The sequence below is a fragment of the Homo sapiens genome, chromosome 13, assembly GCF_000001405.40.
Source record: "Homo sapiens chromosome 13, GRCh38.p14 Primary Assembly".
NCBI classification, from domain to species: domain Eukaryota; kingdom Metazoa; phylum Chordata; class Mammalia; order Primates; family Hominidae; genus Homo; species Homo sapiens.
Window position 1 is genome coordinate 58,666,195 of NC_000013.11, and position 18,833 is coordinate 58,685,027.

Below are 18,833 nucleotides of genomic sequence, written 5' to 3' on the forward strand. Positions count from 1 at the left end.
AATAATGACATTACTATGTACAAAGATTAAGAATTATTGGCATTATTATATCCTATCAGCTAACAAAATCACTTTATAAGATGAAAATTGCATAAAGTTGTTTAATCATTACTTTGAGATTTTAAGGTGTGTTTAGGCCCTGTTTCTGAACAGATCTTGACAAATATGTCAATAAAAAAAAAGAAGCAGCCAGTGAAAGTGGTGCTGATTCCAATCAAGCACTTAAAAAACTGTTCTCTTAACTTTATTACTTTTTCCTACTTCCTTTCTCATGCTCCATCTGCGAGTTACTAATCCAAGAACTGTCTCCCTTGAGTATATTTTTTCCCACAAAGATAGTTGCTGGAACTGAAAGGATGTTAAAAGAAAGATTAGTGCCTAGTAGAGGATCTCCTCCTGAAACAAAAAGTGGACCCAATGGAACAATCAAAAGAAAGAAAGAATAACTTGGAGATTTGAAACAAAGCAGGTTTCAGGCAGTATGCTCAGGAAGAGAGGACTCAGAAAACTCCAACAACCTCATAAGAATTTTCATTTAGCAAACACAAGCTTATTTCTGAAAGCCTCTGTCCTTTCCATGACATTTCAGGTTGGTTTCTAATTGCGTGAAGTTTCCTAGAATAACCATTCTTTTGAAAGAAGAACATCCTGGCCAACACAAACTTTGATCCATTTGTTAGACAGAATTGTTATTATAAAATATTTAATTGACTATATGATGAATAGCAGAAGCTGGATTAACCAGTTAATGATTATAAATTTGGTGTCATGGACCTGTTTTTTCAGAGCTTGTAGGCTAAAATTTTTGTGATAAGCCCATACAGTTATTAACAAGTTTGATATACAGAAAGGCTAAAAACAGTCTCAGCTTTGTCTTTCTTGACACAATGCTTTTGCTGATGCTGTCCCAGTATTACCTTCTTAATAGACTTCTCCATGATTATTTTCAAATGATGACCCATTGTTTTTTAAAAAAGTGATATAATATTTTAGAACGTGCTGAATTATGTACTATTTCTACTGGTTTTTGTTCCTAAGTGTCTACATTTGCTAACCAGATTCTCTGTTTCTGGTTTCTGTGAAGATAGCTACCGGCACAAAGCCAACATGCAGCAAAGGTTTTTCATGTATTTATTAAACATCTGTTATGTGCTAGGCTCAGCACTAGGTGCTGATACATGGTTTTGAGTATGATATATTAATTATGTGTAATTGATATAAACATTTATACACAGAAATACACATATTCTATTACTTCTAGAATGCATTTAAAATGAAAGATAATTGGAGAGGAAAGTAAAGATTTCAGAGGTTATTCTATGCTAAATTAATTTTTTTCTTTTTCAGTTAATAACCATCTTTTCTCTAGAGTCTATTTTTAAACATTTTTAGGTCCAACAATTTGCTGTATAATTTAAACTGCATACGCACATTGTGAAGATCTTGTTTCATCTGTCTTTTAGATAGTGCCTGCAATTTTAGTTCTCAATAAATATTATTGTAGCAATAAAGTGTGAAGCGATTATAAAAATTGGCAATGTCTAAGACTTCTCTTCATTTCTAAAGCTTAGCAGCATCTCTGATAAAGTGCAATTTTTCATTGTAAAAATTTCACTATTTTCATTACATTCCAATAAACTAGAACATATTATGCTAGGTCACATTAAAAATCTAGTGTCCATTTAGACTTGGCTTGAAGCAGGAAGGAAAGTAGCACATGAAAACATATGAAATAAAAGAAATTGTTATTTCTTGCCTCTAGTTCTACTCTACAAATTTATTATTTTCTCAACTCACCTATTAATTTGACTCTTATGAAAGAATACTTAGATATAACTCTCCATTTTCTGACTTTTAAAAAAATGAAAGCATTAAAGCTAAATTTCAAAAACTACGTATTATAGGAGATTCAAGTAAATAGCAGGAATTGAACTAAAATCAAAAGCCCCAGCTTTATGAAGAGAGTCAAAAATTATGTAAAATGATCAGTGATAATTTGCTAGTAACTTCCCAGACTGGACTAGCAGCAAGCTTTGTCCCCCAAATTGTAAAATTCCATAAATTTTTGGATTAGTCATAATTGCATTATAGTCAATAGAATCCCAGAGATCCAAAGAAAATGATATTTCATAAAATAAATTGTGGTTATGGCCATCAGTTTAATTTGGTTTCTTTTGTAAATGCTTTGCCATTACCACAGTAAAATTCTGGATTCCAGCACTGCCTCTTACTTACCCTAGGAAACATTACCATTTAAAAACACTATTCCAAATTGCAAGAAAGACTGGTTACTGATTCTGCATGGAGTTTTGAAAAGGAAATATTAATTTTTTATATAAATCAATTTTTTAAAAACCGGGTTCCCTAAATTGTGCCTTGAGGTCTAAGGATTTCCTAAAATGAATAAGATTCTGAATTAATATTATATTTTTTCATCATTCTCAATGTATATTAGCATGTTAGAGGTTTTGAAAATGTTGCAGCAATAATAAATATTTAAGTTTCCTAAACTTACCTGTGCAGGAAATCCTTTTCACTATTAACACCAAATAACCCAAAGACTAAGCATTTGGAAACAGTTATCTAAACCTATCAATCAATTTACATTTCCTAGTTTCTAATTTAAGTATGCTACATAGTTTTAAAATAATTATTTATTGAGCATTATTGTAAAATGTGCTGGACCATTTTGTAATAAAAAATTGAATGTCCTGCATTCATCTACTTAGTTTTAAAATATTTATTGAATGGTCACTGTGAATAATCACTGTGAACAAGGAAAAAGGAGTTCTTACCCAGTGAATAACTGAAAAGATGTTGCTCAAAGAGGTGACAATACAGAACAGAAAATTATGCAAATATTTACCATGTAGTATAATAATTGATAAAGTAACTATGTTTTGATGGATTTTTTTTCTAAAATACTGTCATTTTTAGATTAGTTTTATGAAAGCCTCCTTTTCATACTTGTTAGGAAAACTTTGAACATGGATTGCACAGAATTACAATTTCAAATTTAAACTTTGTATAATGACATTATATCCTGAAAGAATGTAAAAAGATTTAGAACTATTTACACCTATATTTAATAGCACTATGTGGGTTCTCTTAGTTATTGTTTGTTCATTTGCTTCCTTCTATCAACTCATTCTACTTTTTGGCTGAACTGGATTATCTTTGTGCAAACTCTGACCAATGCTTCTTCCATTTTGTTGCCCACAACAAAGCTAATGATTGGAAGAGGAAATCAAACAACCCAGTTTAATCACTGAGCTGACCTTTACCCTTTTATAAAAAAGTGTCTGTGTTGATGAGCATTAACAGCTTTCTCGTCAGCTAAATCTTCACTTTTCTTACCACCATGTGTCATTTAATTCCCTTCTGAAAGAGATTTTCAAAGAAGACCTAATCCACCATCTGAAAATTTCATTCGCTCCTTAAGTGATACTTGATCACCAGCTATACACTTCCCTTTATGCTAAAGAGGTACCAGTGTAGGTAGGGAAGCAAAACTTACGTATTTCCCAAAAGAAAAGCAATGTAAAATAGCCAATAAATTAGAACAAAATCAATGAAAAAAAGAGTAGGCTACGTTCACACAAAATAAGTTTTGCAATTTTTTTTTTTTTAGGAAGAGGAAAGAGAATGTTGCCTTGTAAATAATAAAAAGGACCAAATTGTCCAATTGCCCTTAACACAAATGAAAGATTATAGGGAGAACCAAGTTTACTGATTTAAAGACAGAGGCAATAGTACAGACAGGCCAAGCATTCTTCCCCTAGCATAATTTGCCATTGTCAATGTAATTTTCCAAATATTATTTCTCTCCCAGATTAGGAAATGTTCTGGTATAGATTTTGTACGTGATATACAAGTAATGCATGCAGATCATTGTGTGAAGAGAGGAATGCATTCAGTTTTGGAGCATCTCTTTTTAATATTCTATTACTATATAACATATGAGACATCTATCAGTGAGCCATGCCCCTTAAAAGCATAAACTCTGGGTTCCTTAACATCACAGAGAGACCACATGTATCCTGACAAAAACATTTCCAAGTTATGAATTTGCCATTATCTTTCTGCTCATAAATATTTTAAGTGCATTTACCAAGAGATTTTGCATAGAGAGATATTTGACTTGGCCATCTCTGTCACTGAAAAGAGAGATTATGGGTTACAGACCTATTGTTAACCTAGTATTTCCAACTGATATTATTGGAGTGTGATTCATGGAAGAAAGTAATTGAACTTATGTCACTTAAGGATGGTCAGTATGACAAAGCTTATAGTTCAGTTCCTACCTCAAAACAATCTTGTGCCCTACTGTTTTTCTCATCAATTAAAAAGCCCAACAAAAAGTCCAAGGAAATAGCTATTTTTCCTTCTGATTCTTTTATCATACAATAGTATTTAATCTGGAAATAAATGGAAAGTGTAAAGACAAATAGCATGCAAAATAAGCAATGCCACAAACTCAGATTAAAACAGGCAACAATGATTTTGTAGTTTTGGTGGATCATTCTTCACCCTAATAGAATACATTTACAAACAAAATCATACAAGGAACATATTCAAGGGTTTTATCTTGTATTTGGCCAAGAAAGACTCTCATTCCTGAAACTCAAAAGAGTTTCTAATAAACTTGAGGTAATTTTTAGCATGCTATAAATGCACTGCAGCAGCAGCCTTGGTAAAAGGTAAGCTACCAAGACTTGAATGATATTTAACAATTTGTCAGCTATTTATAATTAAATCAATATCATTCTTTTTGGACGCACATCTTTGTCAATCAAATTCCTTGAGGTGGCTGCCCTAATCTTCATCACTTCCTGATTGCTGACATCTGAAATATATAGGAATCATGAGTTAAAGGTCAAGCTATTTTGAAAATGTGTTAGGTCTATTAGCATTAAATCACGGATTATCTACTAGCATTAAAAACTCATCTAATTTTATCCATTTCATCTTCATGCCACTGTACTTCAATGATATAGTACTTTTCAACCAGTCAGTACTTGTCTAATTTTTTTTTTACCAGAAGCCACCAATAAATGTATGATTAATTTAAAAAATGCTGTTGAAATCCATCAACAATTGTAAGGTATTATGTCAATTCATAACTTGCAACCATCATCAAATTACATAGATAAATATATATTTAAGTTATTTAATGAAGATATATGCATAAAGACTGTGTTTAGAGATTGATTTTTAAACATTATTTTAGAGCACATTTACATCCATCCAAGTCTGCATATAAAAAACTTGTATTTAGCACAAATTGCCTAATGATTATTTTATTAACCTTTCTGTGTATATGCCTTGAATAATCACAGATATATACATGTGTACAAACACACACACACACACACACACAAAACACAAACACACATCCAGAGGCATAAAAATCTAAATTTTAAAAACATTTTAATTACATTTAGAATTTTTAGAATTTAGGGCAAAATATACAGAGAGCAAACAAATAATATAAAACTTTATTACCAAATGATTGGTATCCAACTTGGAATGTGCACATGCCAGAGATATGCTGGGGTATTTGAGAAAATTATTAGGATTTCAATTTATATTTGATTTCTCATACATTTTTAATTACTATCTTTTACAATTTTAACATGCATAAAATGTTGATACAGTATAAAAATGCTTTGGGAAAGTAATTTTTAATGAAATATATGAATAATTAAAAATTGTGTAGATACATGGGTAAAGGACATAGTTCTCTGGTATTGAAACAAATCAGTCCTGTTAACATTTTTTTATCTACATGTATTCTAAAATATTATAGGAAAGGTTCCATATAAAACCTGCCTCATTGTCTGCTAATTCTTTTTATAACACTTTCTTTTAACTGTTTATCCAAGTAAAACAGTTTTTGTCAGGTAGGTGTGATTCATAGATGGAATGAAGAATATAATATTTGCTGAAATGTTTGCCTTACATATAAAGAAGCTTAAATGCCATGAAGCAAAATAATTAGGCTGTATATTTTTATTCTTTTAATTAAATTTTCCTGATTTAAATCTAATGTTATATTTGAAGAAATCTTGAGCTCTTACATGAGAAAATATATAAGATTTTCATATTTTAAGCTATATATACATATTTATGGAGGAAGAGAGACACAGAGGTAATCAGTTACTGCTTGTAACATTTATCAGAAAGGCACCAAAAAAAATCTCAACTTTTAATGGCCCTTGAGTTTTATATTATACTTGAGAGGACATGCTATTTGACAAACAGCATTTGATAAAAATGACAGTGACTATGTGAATCTAATAGTACCTTATCAGATTTATATTTATAATTATTATAATTTTTAAATTTAAAATTATGATATGGCAGTAAACAAATTACATATTCCTAAGTTTTTTTTTTTTCTTGTTTATTTTTCTTTTCTTTTTCTTTTTTTTTTATTATACTTTAAGTTTTAGGGTACATGTGCACATTGTGCAGGTTAGTTACATACGTATACATGTGCCATGCTGGTGCGCTGCACCCACTAACTCGTCATCTAGCATTAGGTATATCTCCCAATGCTATCCCTCCCCCCTCCCCCCACCCCACCACAGTCCCCAGAGTGTGATATTCCCCTTCCTGTGTCCATGTGATCTCATTGTTCAATTTCCACCTATGAGTGAGAATATGCAGTGTTTGGTTTTTTGTTCTTGCGATAGTTTACTGAGAATGATGGTTTCCAATTTCATCCATGTCCCTACAAAGGACATGAACTCATCATTTTTTATGGCTGCATAGTATTCCATGGTGTGTATGTGCCACATTTTCTTAATCCAGTCTATCATTGTTGGACATTTGGGTTGGTTCCAAGTCTTTGCTATTGTGAATAATGCCGCAATAAACATACGTGTGCATGTGTCTTTATAGCAGCATGATTTATAGTCCTTTGGGTATATACCCAGTAATGGGATGGCTGGGTCAAATGGTATTTCTAGTTCTAGATCCCTGAGGAATCGCCACACTGACTTCCACAATGGTTGAACTAGTTTACAGTCCCACCAACAGTGTAAAAGTGTTCCTATTTCTCCACATCCTCTCCAGCACCTGTTGTTTCCTGACTTTTTAATGATTGCCATTCTAACTGGTGTGAGATGATATCTCATAGTGGTTTTGATTTGCATTTCTCTGATGGCCAGTGATGATGAGCATTTTTTCATGTACTTTTTGGCTGCATAAATGTCTTCTTTTGAGAAGTGTCTGTTCATGTCCTTCACCCACTTTTTGATGGGGTTGTTTGTTTTTTTCTTGTAAATTTGTTTGAGTTCATTGTAGATTCTGGATATTAGCCTTTTGTCAGATGAGTAGGTTGCGAAAATTTTCTCCCATGTTGTAGGTTGCCTGTTCACTCTGATGGTAGTTTCTTTTGCTGTGCAGAAGCTCTTTAGTTTAATTAGATCCCATTTGTCAATTTTGGCTTTTGTTGCCATTGCTTTTGGTGTTTTGGACATGAAGTCCTTGCCCATGCCTATGTCCTGAATGGTAATGCCTAGGTTTTCTTCTAGGGTTTTTATGGTTTTAGGTCTAACGTTTAAATCTTTAATCCATCTTGAATTGATTTTTGTATAAGGTGTAAGGAAGGGATCCAGTTTCACCTTTCTACATATGGCTAGCCAGTTTTCCCAGCACCATTTGTTAAATAGGGAATCCTTTCCCCATTGCTTGTTTTTCTCAGGTTTGTCAAAGATCAGATGGTTGTAGGTATGCGGCGTTATTTCTGAGGGCTCTGTTCTGTTCCATTGATCTATATCTCTGTTTTGGTACCAGTACCATGCTGTTTTGGTTACTGTAGCCTTGTAGTATAGTTTGAAGTCAGGTAGTGTGATGCCTCCAGCTTTGTTCTTTTGGCTTAGGATTGACTTGGCGATGCGGGCTCTTTTTTGGTTCCATATGAACTGTAAAGTAGTTTTTTCCAATTCTGTGAAGAAAGTCATTGGTAGCTTGATGGGGATGGCATTGAATCTGTAAATTACCTTGGGCAGTATGGCCATTTTCACGATATTGATTCTTCCTACCCATGAGCATGGAATGTTCTTCCATTTGTTTGTATCCTCTTTTATTTCCTTGAGCAGTGGTTTGTAGTTCTCCTTGAAGAGGTCCTTCACATCCCTTGTAAGTTGGATTCCTAGGTATTTTATTCTCTTTGAAGCAATTGTGAATGGGAGTTCACTCATGATTTGGCTCTCTGTTTGTCTGTTGTTGGTGTATAAGAATGCTTGTGATTTTTGTATATTGATTTTGTATCCTGAGACTTTGCTGAAGTTGCTTATCAGCTTAAGGAGATTATGGGCTGAGACGATGGGGTTTTCTAGATAAACAATCATGTCGTCTGCAAACAGGGACAATTTGACTTCCTCTTTTCCTAATTGAATACCCTTTATTTCCTTCTCCTGCCTGATTGCCCTGGCCAGAACTTCCAACACTATGTTGAATAGGAGTGGTGAGAGAGGGCATCCCTATCTTGTGCCAGTTTTCAAAGGGAATGCTTCCAGTTTTTGCCCATTCAGTATGATATTGGCTGTGGGTTTGTCATAGATAGCTCTTATTATTTTGAAACACGTCCCATCAATACCTAATTTATTGAGAGTTTTTAGCATGAAGGGTTGTTGAATTTTGTCAAAGGCTTTTTCTGCATCTATTGAGATAATCATGTGGCTTTTGTCTTTGGCTCTGTTTATATGCTGGATTACATTTATTGATTTGCGTATATTGAACCAGCCTTGCATCCCAGGGATGAAGCCCACTTGATCATGGTGGATAAGCTTTTTGATGTGCTGCTGGATTCGGTTTGCCAGTATTTTATTGAGGATTTTTGCATCAATGTTCATCAAGGATATTGGTCTAAAATTCTCTTTTTTGGTTGTGTCTCTGCCCGGCTTTGGTATCAGAATGATGCTGGCCTCATAAAATGAGTTAGAGAGGATTCCCTCTTTTTCTATTGATTGGAATAGTTTCAGAAGGAATGGTACCAGTTCCTCCTTGTACCTCTGGTAGAATTCGGCTGTGAATCCATCTGGTCCTGGACTCTTTTTGGTTGGTAAACTATTGATTATTGCCACAATTTCAGCTCCTGTTATTGGTCTATTCAGAGATTCAACTTCTTCCTGGTTTAGTCTTGGGAGAGTGTATGTGTCGAGGAATGTATCCATTTCTTCTAGATTTTCTAGTTTATTTGCGTAGAGGTGTTTGTAGTATTCTCTGATGGTAGTTTGTATGTCTGTGGGATCGGTGGTGATATCCCCTTTATCATTTTTTATTGTGTCTATTTGATTCTTCTCTCTTTTTTTCTTTATTAGTCTTGCTAGTGGTCTATCAATTTTGTTGATCCTTTCAAAAAACCAGCTCCTGGATTCATTGATTTTTTGAAGGGTTTTTTGTGTCTCTATTTCCTTCAGTTCTGCTCTGATTTTAGTTATTTCTTGCCTTCTGCTAGCTTCTGAATGTGTTTGCTCTTGCTTTTCTAGTTCTTTTAATTGTGATGTTAGGGTGTCAATTTTGGATCTTTCCTGCTTTCTCTTGTGGGCATTTAGTGCTATAAATTTCCCTCTACACACTGCTTTGAATGCGTCCCAGAGATTCTGGTATGTTGTGTCTTTGTTCTCGTTGGTTTCAAAGAACATCTTTATTTCTGCCTTCATTTCGTTATGTACCCAGTAGTCATTCAGGAGCGGGTTGTTCAGTTTCCATGTAGTTGAGCGGCTCTGAGTGAGATTCTTAATCCTGAGTTCTAGTTTGATTGCACTGTGGTCTGAGCGATAGTTTGTTATAATTTCTGTTCTTTTACATTTGCTGAGGAGAGCTTTACTTCCAACTATGTGGTCAATTTTGGAATAGGTGTGGTGTGGTGCTGAAAAAAATGTATATTCTGTTGATTTGGGGTGGAGAGTTCTGTAGATGTCTATTAGGTCTGCTTGGTGCAGAGCTGAGTTCAATTCCTGGGTATCCTTGTTGACTTTCTGTCTCGTTGATCTGTCTAATGTTGACAGTGGGGTGTTAAAGTCTCCCATTATTAATGTGTGGGAGTCTAAGTCTCTTTGTAGGTCACTCAGGACTTGCTTTATGAATCTGGGTGCTCCTGTATTGGGTGCATATATATTTAGGATAGTTAGCTCCTCTTGTTGAATTGATCCCTTTACCATTATGTAATGGCCTTCTTTGTCTCTTTTGATCTTTGTTGGTTTAAAGTCTGTTTTATCAGAGACTAGGATTGCAACCCCTGCCTTTTTTTGTTTTCCATTTGCTTGGTAGATCTTCCTCCATCCTTTTATTTTGAGCCTATGTGTGTCTCTGCACGTGAGATGGGTTTCCTGAATACAGCACACTGATGGGTCTTGACTCTTTATCCAACTTGCCAGTCTGTGTCTTTTAATTGGAGAATTTAGTCCATTTACATTTAAAGTTAATATTGTTATGTGTGAATTTGATCCTGTCATTATGATGTTAGCTGGTGATTTTGCTCATTAGTTGATGCAGTTTCTTCCTAGTATCGATGGTCTTTACATTTTGGCATGATTTTGCAGCGGCTGGTACCGGTTGTTCCTTTCCATGTTTAGCGCTTCCTTCAGAAGCTCTTTCAGGGCAGGCCTGGTGGTGACAAAATCTCTCAGCATTTGCTTGTCTGTAAAGTATTTTATTTCTCCTTCACTTATGAAGCTTAGTTTGGCTGGATATGAAATTCTGGGTTGAAAATTCTTTTCTTTAAGAATGTTGAATATTGGCCCCCACTCTCTTCTGGCTTGCAGTGTTTCTGCCGAGATATCTGCTGTTAGTCTGATGGGCTTCCCTTTGAGGGTAACCCGACCTTTCTCTCTGGCTGCCCTTAACATTTTTTCCTTCATTTCAACTTTGGTGAATCTGACAATTATGTGTCTTGGAGTTGCTCTTCTCGAGGAGTATCTTTGTGGCGTTCTCTGTGTTTCCTGAATCTGAACGTTGGCCTGCCTTGCTAGATTGGGGAAGTTCTCCTGGATAATATCCTGCAGAGTGTTTTCCAACTTGGTTCCATTCTCCGCATCACTTTCAGGTACACCAATCAGACGTAGATTTGGTCTTTTCACATAGTCCCATATTTCTTGGAGGCTTTGCTCATTTCTTTTTATTCTTTTTTCTCTAAACTTCCCTTCTCACTTCATTTCATTCATTTCATCTTCCATTGCTGATACCCTTTCTTCCAGTTGATCGCATCAACTCCTGAGGCTTCTGCATTCTTCACGTAGTTCTCAAGCCTTGGTTTTCAGCTCCATCAGCTCCTTTAATCACTTCTCTGTATTGGTTATTCTAGTTATACATTCTTCTAAATTTTTTTCAAAGTTTTCAACTTCTTTGCCTTTGGTTTGAATGTCCTCCCATAGCTCAGAGTAATTTGATCGTCTGAAACCTTCTTCTCTCAGCTCGTCAAAGTCATTCTCCATCCAGCTTTGTTCCGTTGCTGGTGAGGAACTGCGTTCCTTTGGAGGAGGAGAGGCGCTCTGCGTTTTAGAGTTTCCAGTTTTTCTGTTCTGTTTTTTCCCCATCTTTGTGGTTTTATCTACTTTTGGTCTTTGATGATGGTGATCTACAGATGGGTTTTCGGTGTGGATGTCCTTTCTGTTTGTTAGTTTTCCTTCTAACAGACAGGACCCTCAGCTGCAGGTCTGTTGGAATACCCTGCCGTGTGAGGTGTCAGTGTGCCCCTGCTGGGGGGTGCCTCCCAGTTAGGCTGCTCGGGGGTCAGGGGTCAGGGACCCACTTGAGGAGGCAGTCTGCCTGTTCTCAGATCTCCAGCTGCGTGCTGGGAGAACCACTGCTCTCTTCAAAGCTGTCAGACAGGGACATTTAAGTCTGCAGAAGTTACTGCTGTCTTTTTGTTTGTCTGTGCCCTGCCCCCAGAGGTGGAGCCTACAGAGGCAGGCAGGCCTCCTTGAGCTGTGGTGGGCTCCACCCAGTTCGAGCTTCCCGGCTGCTTTGTTTACCTAAGCTAGCCTGGGCAATGGCGGGCGCCCCTCCCCCAGCCTCGCTGCCGCCTTGCAGTTTGATCTCAGACTGCTGTGCTAGCAATCAGCGAGATTCCGTGGGCGTAGGACCCTCCGAGCCAGGTGTGGGATATAGTCTCGTGGTGCGCCGTTTTTTAAGCCAGTCTGAAAAGCGCAATATTCGGGTGGGAGTGACCCGATTTTCCAGGTGCCTCCGTCACCCCTTTCTTTGACTCGGACAGGGAACTCCCTGACCCCTTGCGCTTCCCAGGTGAGGCAATGCCTCGCCCTGCTTCGGCTCGCGCACGTTGCGCACACCCACTGGCCTGCGCCCACAGTCTGGCACTCCCTAGTGAGATGAACCCGGTACCTCAGATGGAAATGCAGAAATCACCCGTCTTCTGCGTCGCTCACGCTGGGAGCTGTAGACCGGAGCTGTTCCTATTCGGCCATCTTGGCTCCGAAGCTCCCTAAGTTTTTATTATTGACAATTCTCTTTCTTATGAGAGCTGTGGAATTAGCTTGCTTATATTCTACTAGACTTCTTCAGCCATCAACTCATAAGCCATCACACTTAAGTATTATGAGCTACGGGGCAGTGAGGGAAAATAATGCCAGGTCAGATATACTCCTCCTTTTCTTTTCCAAGCTAATAATGTTGGTTACAACATATTGAGCACTTCCAAAAGTGGCAAATACCATTCTTTGTATATGACATTTACTTTATTCTTCATAACAGAATCATGAGGTGGTGTTTTCTCCAGTATACAGGTGAAAAAACTAAGACTTTGGAGGAGTCCCGTTATTTGCCGCAGTTCACACAGTTTTTAAATGGTTAAGGCAGAATTCAAGAGCATAGCTACATCTGTCTAGGTTTCCAGCTACCACATTCTACTGAGTAGAACTTTGTCTTGAGCTACTAATTTTTAAAAAAATTAATTAATTTTTAAATTGACAAATAAAATTGTATATCATGCACAACACTGTTTATATATACATGTTTATATATAATTTATATATGTATATAATTATAGTCTATAATATATGTATATATTACACACATATTATATACATATATGTATATAATATAAATATATAATTACATAAACAAATTATATATGTATATATGTATATGTTTATATATACAATTAATTTTTAAATGGACAGATAAAATTGTATTTATCATGCACAACATCACATGTATATATACATTGTGTAATGACTAAATCTAGCTAATTAACATTTGCATTACCTCCCATAGTTATCATTTTTGTGGTGGGAATACATTCACTTTCTTCCCATTTTTTAAGAATACAATATGTTGTTAGCTCTAGTCACCATGTTATAGAATAGATCTCTTGAATTTATTCCTCCTATTGGAAATTTTGTATCCTTTGATCATCATCCCCTTAACTCTGCTCTTCTTGAGCCCCAGTCTAATCACCTCAGCCCCTGGTAACCACCATTCTACTTTTTGCTGTTATGAGATTAACATTTTAGCTTCCACGTATGAGTGAGATCATGTGGTATTTGTCTTCCTATACCTGGCTTACTTCACTTAACATAATGCCCTCTAGGGTTCTCATGCTAGTGAGAAAGTCAAACAAAATAGAAATCTCAAGAGCCAATCCAAGACATCTACTAGGTTTCCTTTTGCTTTGATGCCCACCTTTACCATTATTCCTCCTGCTTCATGGAGTGCCTTCCAAGAATATAGTATTAAAAACAATTATTAAGATGGAGAAAAACTGGTAACTACAAATAACATAAGAAACTCAAACACCTCACTTATGCTACCAAAAATATCTGCTGCTCACAATTGGCATAATTGTGTCATTCCTGCGTCCTCAATTTAAACTTGATGGTCTTTAATGTATCTTGTAGATAGAAAACAAGGTAAGGGGAGTTCTTTGACCATTTGCAATGCTGTGGGGTCCATCCCACAGACCCTGACCCAACGACTGTTGAATAACGTACACTGACACAGATATTATGTTTGTCAGTCTGGTTGAGAGTCTGGGTCGCTTACAGACTCCCAGGAGAGTGCTGTAAAGAGTTGCAAACTCGGCCTGACTTGCTAGCCTTCCCTGCATTTATTCAGCACACATTAAATGACAAAAGTCTCAAGTGAACACTACCAGAAGGTAATTACCATTGCCAACCCCCTGAGGAGAGAGCAATCATACACCCATGGATGGTCAAAGGTTAGTCTTAGGACCACATGAATAAACAAACTATTTAGACTCTTCTACATTCCTTTGTTAATTACCCTTGTTATAGCTCAAAGAGGATTAGGCTGCCTTCCCCATAACTCTATCCTGAGGCTTTTGCAAAAACCTTCTGGCCTTCCAAGAAAGTTTGTATTTATTTTACAATTTTTCCCACCATCCTGACTGAACCCCTATACAATAGTCCATTTAAAAATAAAGTCTCCTAAAGTCCAAGTCTGTGGAGACTAGTCACCTGTGTAGTTCTTCCTCAGACTACCTAAAACATTGACAGTGTGTACCCATCTGTCATAGTCACTTGGAAATGTGTATCTAGGAAAGCCAGGATCATGCTGTTAAAATATTTTGTATAAGCTTAAAACAATGGCACTTAATTGTATGCCAGAAAGGATTTCAAAGTTCATGTAATGATTATAGTAATGATGAAGTTGCCTGATTTTCTTATTGGCACTCTTTGTTCTAGTTGTTACATACAGAAGCCAACATTTGATAAATTTATGTTTAGAATGATACCTATGAACAATTTTCAATTAACAGCCTGGAAATTCCAGATTCTCACTTCTTGACATCAAGTGGAAGCAAATGTAATGGCAATATAGATTCCTAACTCTGCACTTTAACTCTAACTTGCAGGTAATACCTTGTTTAGTTTCTCTGTCCAATGGTCATTTGTCTCCTTGCTGTGACTGCCAAAAGACTTGCCAATTAGTGTCACTTGCAGAGGCAGTTTGGGAATGTGGGCACCCAACCAGCAAAAATAGTACCAACATCAGTAGAACATTTTAATGCAAATAAAAACAAAACAAATTTGTCATTAATAAATTTACCCTAAAACATAATCCTGTAATATTTCCTGGTCTCCAAAAAAAATTCAGACTATATCAGTTAATATCGTCAAAATGAGAGTAAGGTATGATTACATGATATCTTATAAGTATATTGTTGAATTTAAAATATAGGCATTGCATTTATTTTTACCGTTTCCCAAACTATCACATGCATCTTGATGACTAATGCTTGGAGAATATCAATAACCAGAAGACAGCCTTCTGACTGTATTTTTTTATATCCTCTTTTCTATATATTCTGAACATTACACTGGGGAGATTCAAAATGAATACAAGAGAAAGAAACACTTTCACTCTTAATCTAAAGGGAGATAATGCTTTCCCAAGAGGTGTGTGGGTAATTTATAGTTAAACATTTTCCTTTGATCTCTATATCACTTTTTCTATTTGGAGTTAATTTGATTAAGTGCGCACCAAGAGGGAATCCAGAAAAAAAAAGAAGGGTTTTCTTTGGGCAGACAGCCAGGAACACAGTTTCAGAAACTTTTTTTTTTAATTGATTGAGCTGCTAGTGATACACATAATTGACTCAAAATTAGAAATGGGATCTGAAGGCACTGAGGATCTCAAATAGGGAGTATGGACCACGGATAGGCTTGTGCATTTTTACGACTTATATATCCAGAAAACTCCCATTCAAAAAAAAATATTTAATGAAAAATTCTAATTTTCTGTGCACAAAAGAGAGGTGTACAAAACATTGAGTCATGGGACTATGTCAGATATATATATATTTTTTGGAGATGGAGTCTCTCTCTGTTGCCCAGGATGGAGTAGAGTGGTGTGATCTGGGCTCACTGTAACCTCCACCTCCCAGATTCAAGCAATTCTCCTGCCCCAGCCTCCCAAGTAGCTGGGACTACAGGCATGTGCTGCCATGCCCGGCTAATTTTTTGTATTTTTAGTAGAGACAGGGTTTCACCATGTTAGCCAGGATGGTCTCCACCTCCTGACTTCGTGATCCGCCCACCTCGGGCTCCCAGAGTGCCAGGATTACAGGCGTGAGCCACCACTCCTGGCTCCAGAATTTCATGTATATATTCTTCTAAATACCTGAGATTATTTCAATGTCAGCATATTGATAAATATATTATCTTGTAAGTTCGAAGCAGAAGGTTTATTGAAATTAAGAAAATCTTAAATGTAAAAACATCTCAAATTTTCCTGCTTTTTTCTGCTTGAGCTTCTCAGGTACACATGAGGCAGGGTAGGTAGTCAGGAAAGTAACCATGTTCTCAGGACAAGGCAACCATGGAACCGTATAATTAACACAGTAAGCCTCAGCATCTGCATGGTAGTCAAGCTCAATCAAGCAAAGCTATCTCCAGTAGGGAATTTCCTCTATAGGGAGAATGCACATTTTGATTTTACCTGTCCTCAGAATAACCTTTTGTTCATTATAATAGTAAACAAACAAACAAAAAAAAAAAACACAAAAAACACCCCTACGTGGAGATTTAAGATGCTAATGAGACATGCAACCTGTGAACAAACATGTAAAGCTACTATGCATGTGCACCCAAAGGACCTCCCAGAACATGCTTACTAATAACACTTCTTCCCTTATGAATAATCATGTGAGACTCCCATAAAGGGAGTCTCTCTAGTGCCAGTCTTTACTGTTTCATCCTTATAAGCAGCCGACCCTGAATTCTCTCTCTCTCTCAGGATGTACTGTCTATTCTGCATTTAACATTTGTAATGGGAAAGGTTCCCTTGTCCCCCTCGCAGGGCGTTTGATGGGAGTATGGCTCACTTCTTCAGTGCCCTGCTGCTCAAACCTCTAGGGGAGCATACATATGGGCAGGCTGTATGTATTGCCATGGGGGCTCCGATCCCATGGCAATGTCTAGGGGTGAATGTTTACAGCAGAAGCCCCAGTGGGCGTGTGTTATAGGTGCTCTCTTAGTTTGCCGTCTATAGGCGGCTTATGTTAAGCAGCTCAATTAGACCCTCTACCTTGTTGCAAGGACAGAGGGCTTTCTGTATCCTGGGTTCTTGACTTGGTGTACCAGAAGAATTGGATCACACGTGGGTTTGGAGAATGAGTGCAAGGTTTTATTGAGAGGAGGTAGCTCTCAGCAGATGGGGGGAGCCAGAAGGGAGATGATTTTCCCCTGGAGTTGGTAGAATGGGCAGCCTGGGCTCTCCTCTGACTGTCCCAGATTAACTCCGCCTCCTTCCACCAATCAGTGGCCTGCTTGCTTGCAAATGCCTGCTGATTTGCTGTTCTGCGATGTGATTCCCTGGACAACCTCTCAACATCCAGCCACATGTGTGTCTGCCTGCTAGAGTCCCTGGGGTTTTTATAGGCACAGGATCAGGGCATGGTGGGTCAGGGTGGTCTTGGGAAATGCAACATTTGGGCGCAAAGGCAGGAATGACTTTCCTCACCTAGGTCGGTGGGGGTGGAGCCCTAGCCAGGGACCATGCCCTTCCTCTATCCAGCACTTTTCTTCCCTCCTTCCTTATCATTTAAAGAGACCACACTCTTCCCTTCCCAGCACTCCCGGATCACTTTCAAAATGTTCTTTCCCCTTTGCAATAAATTACTCTGTGCTGCATCTCCTTTGCTGTGTGTCTCTTGTTTATATTCTTTTAAACTAAGAAGACAAGAACCAAGGTCTTGCATCAGCCATGAACATACACACCTATTGACCATAGGTACTTGGTTTTACTTCAAGTATATTCTATTTTCTGAACCACGTTTTTATATTACTCTCTATGTTGTCTTCCTACCAATTTCTAAGCAACTTCATTGAACACCTGACATATAATCATGTAGAGAAAAAATACAGGATGCACATAGAATGTTCTAAATAGTACCAAACTTATAAAATGTGGGGAAAATTAAAAAGCTGGTGCTATATTTTAGGTTTACACCCTTAAAAGTGATTTAAAGAAACAAGCAAGAGCTAAGTCAGTTAAACAAATTTGCTAGCATGTGCTGATATGTATTGAAGCCTTAATGTCAGTTAAATATAATTTTGATATTTAATTTCTTTAGCCTTGGGAGATTGGGAATAAGGCTAAAAATAAAAATGCATGGTATTTACTTATGAGATAAGGTTTTGTAAAGCCATCTCAGTACTTCTAGGAAAATCAAGATTATTTCTCAAAATAAATCTGAGTCAGTATACTCTTGGGTCTGAGAGTACCAGAGACTTATTTACAATGTGTAAAAACAGTTAAGGAGACTTTAGAAGATTAAACATAAAGGAAGCCTTTGGAAAACTTGAACTAGGCTAGTTAAGGTTGCATCATCAAATAAGGGATGCCTATATGCCACACATCCTTCCTGGAATAATACATCCAATCAATTATTTTATAAACAAAAGAGGAGTGTTGATATTGACAATTTTCTACCTGATTGTATTAATATGGTTGTGGGCAGAGCTGTTTGGTGTGCCAGAGGGACAGGCAAAGGCCTGCTTACCCTCCATTTGAATAGTCCTGTGGATCAACTGTTTTCTTTCTAATGACTGCAGAGGGACTCTGGCAAATTTGCTTGGTCTGGAAGTTGCTAGTTTGATGCTGTGATTCTTCAACTTGGGACCTGAAAAAGCAACAGAATGAAATTTTATTTCTACCATATTATGAATAGGCTATAAGGTAGCTATTTGTGCTTCATCTTGTAGATGAGCATCTGAGACAGAGTGTTTGAATATGTTGTTCAGGGACACCTAACAAATGGCCAATCCAAGATTAGAACTGAGATGAGTATGATTTTAAAAACTGTGTTTTTTACTCTACTATAACATAATTAATAA

The 18,833-nt window shown here is 36.8% G+C and overlaps 1 long non-coding RNA gene across 1 annotated transcript in view, besides 1 other annotated feature; it reads right to left on the minus strand.

The window, feature by feature from the left end:
- Positions 1-18,613, minus strand: part of LOC105370219 (uncharacterized) — a 31,681-nt gene extending 13,068 nt beyond the window's left edge. The window contains exon 1 of the long non-coding RNA XR_941985.2: positions 18,500-18,613. This is a non-coding gene — a long non-coding RNA (uncharacterized LOC105370219). The remainder of the gene's footprint in view (positions 1-18,499) is intronic.
- Positions 13,700-14,541: an enhancer, noted in NCBI's record as "OCT4-NANOG hESC enhancer chr13:59254028-59254869 (GRCh37/hg19 assembly coordinates)". NCBI's record gives its function as "activates a minimal SCP1, AML or CMV promoter by ChIP-STARR-seq in naive and primed H9 embryonic stem cells {active_cell/tissue: H9 hESC(naive and primed)}" and the evidence as "EXISTENCE:reporter gene assay evidence [ECO:0000049][PMID:30033119]".
- Positions 18,614-18,833: the final 220 nt, after the last annotated feature.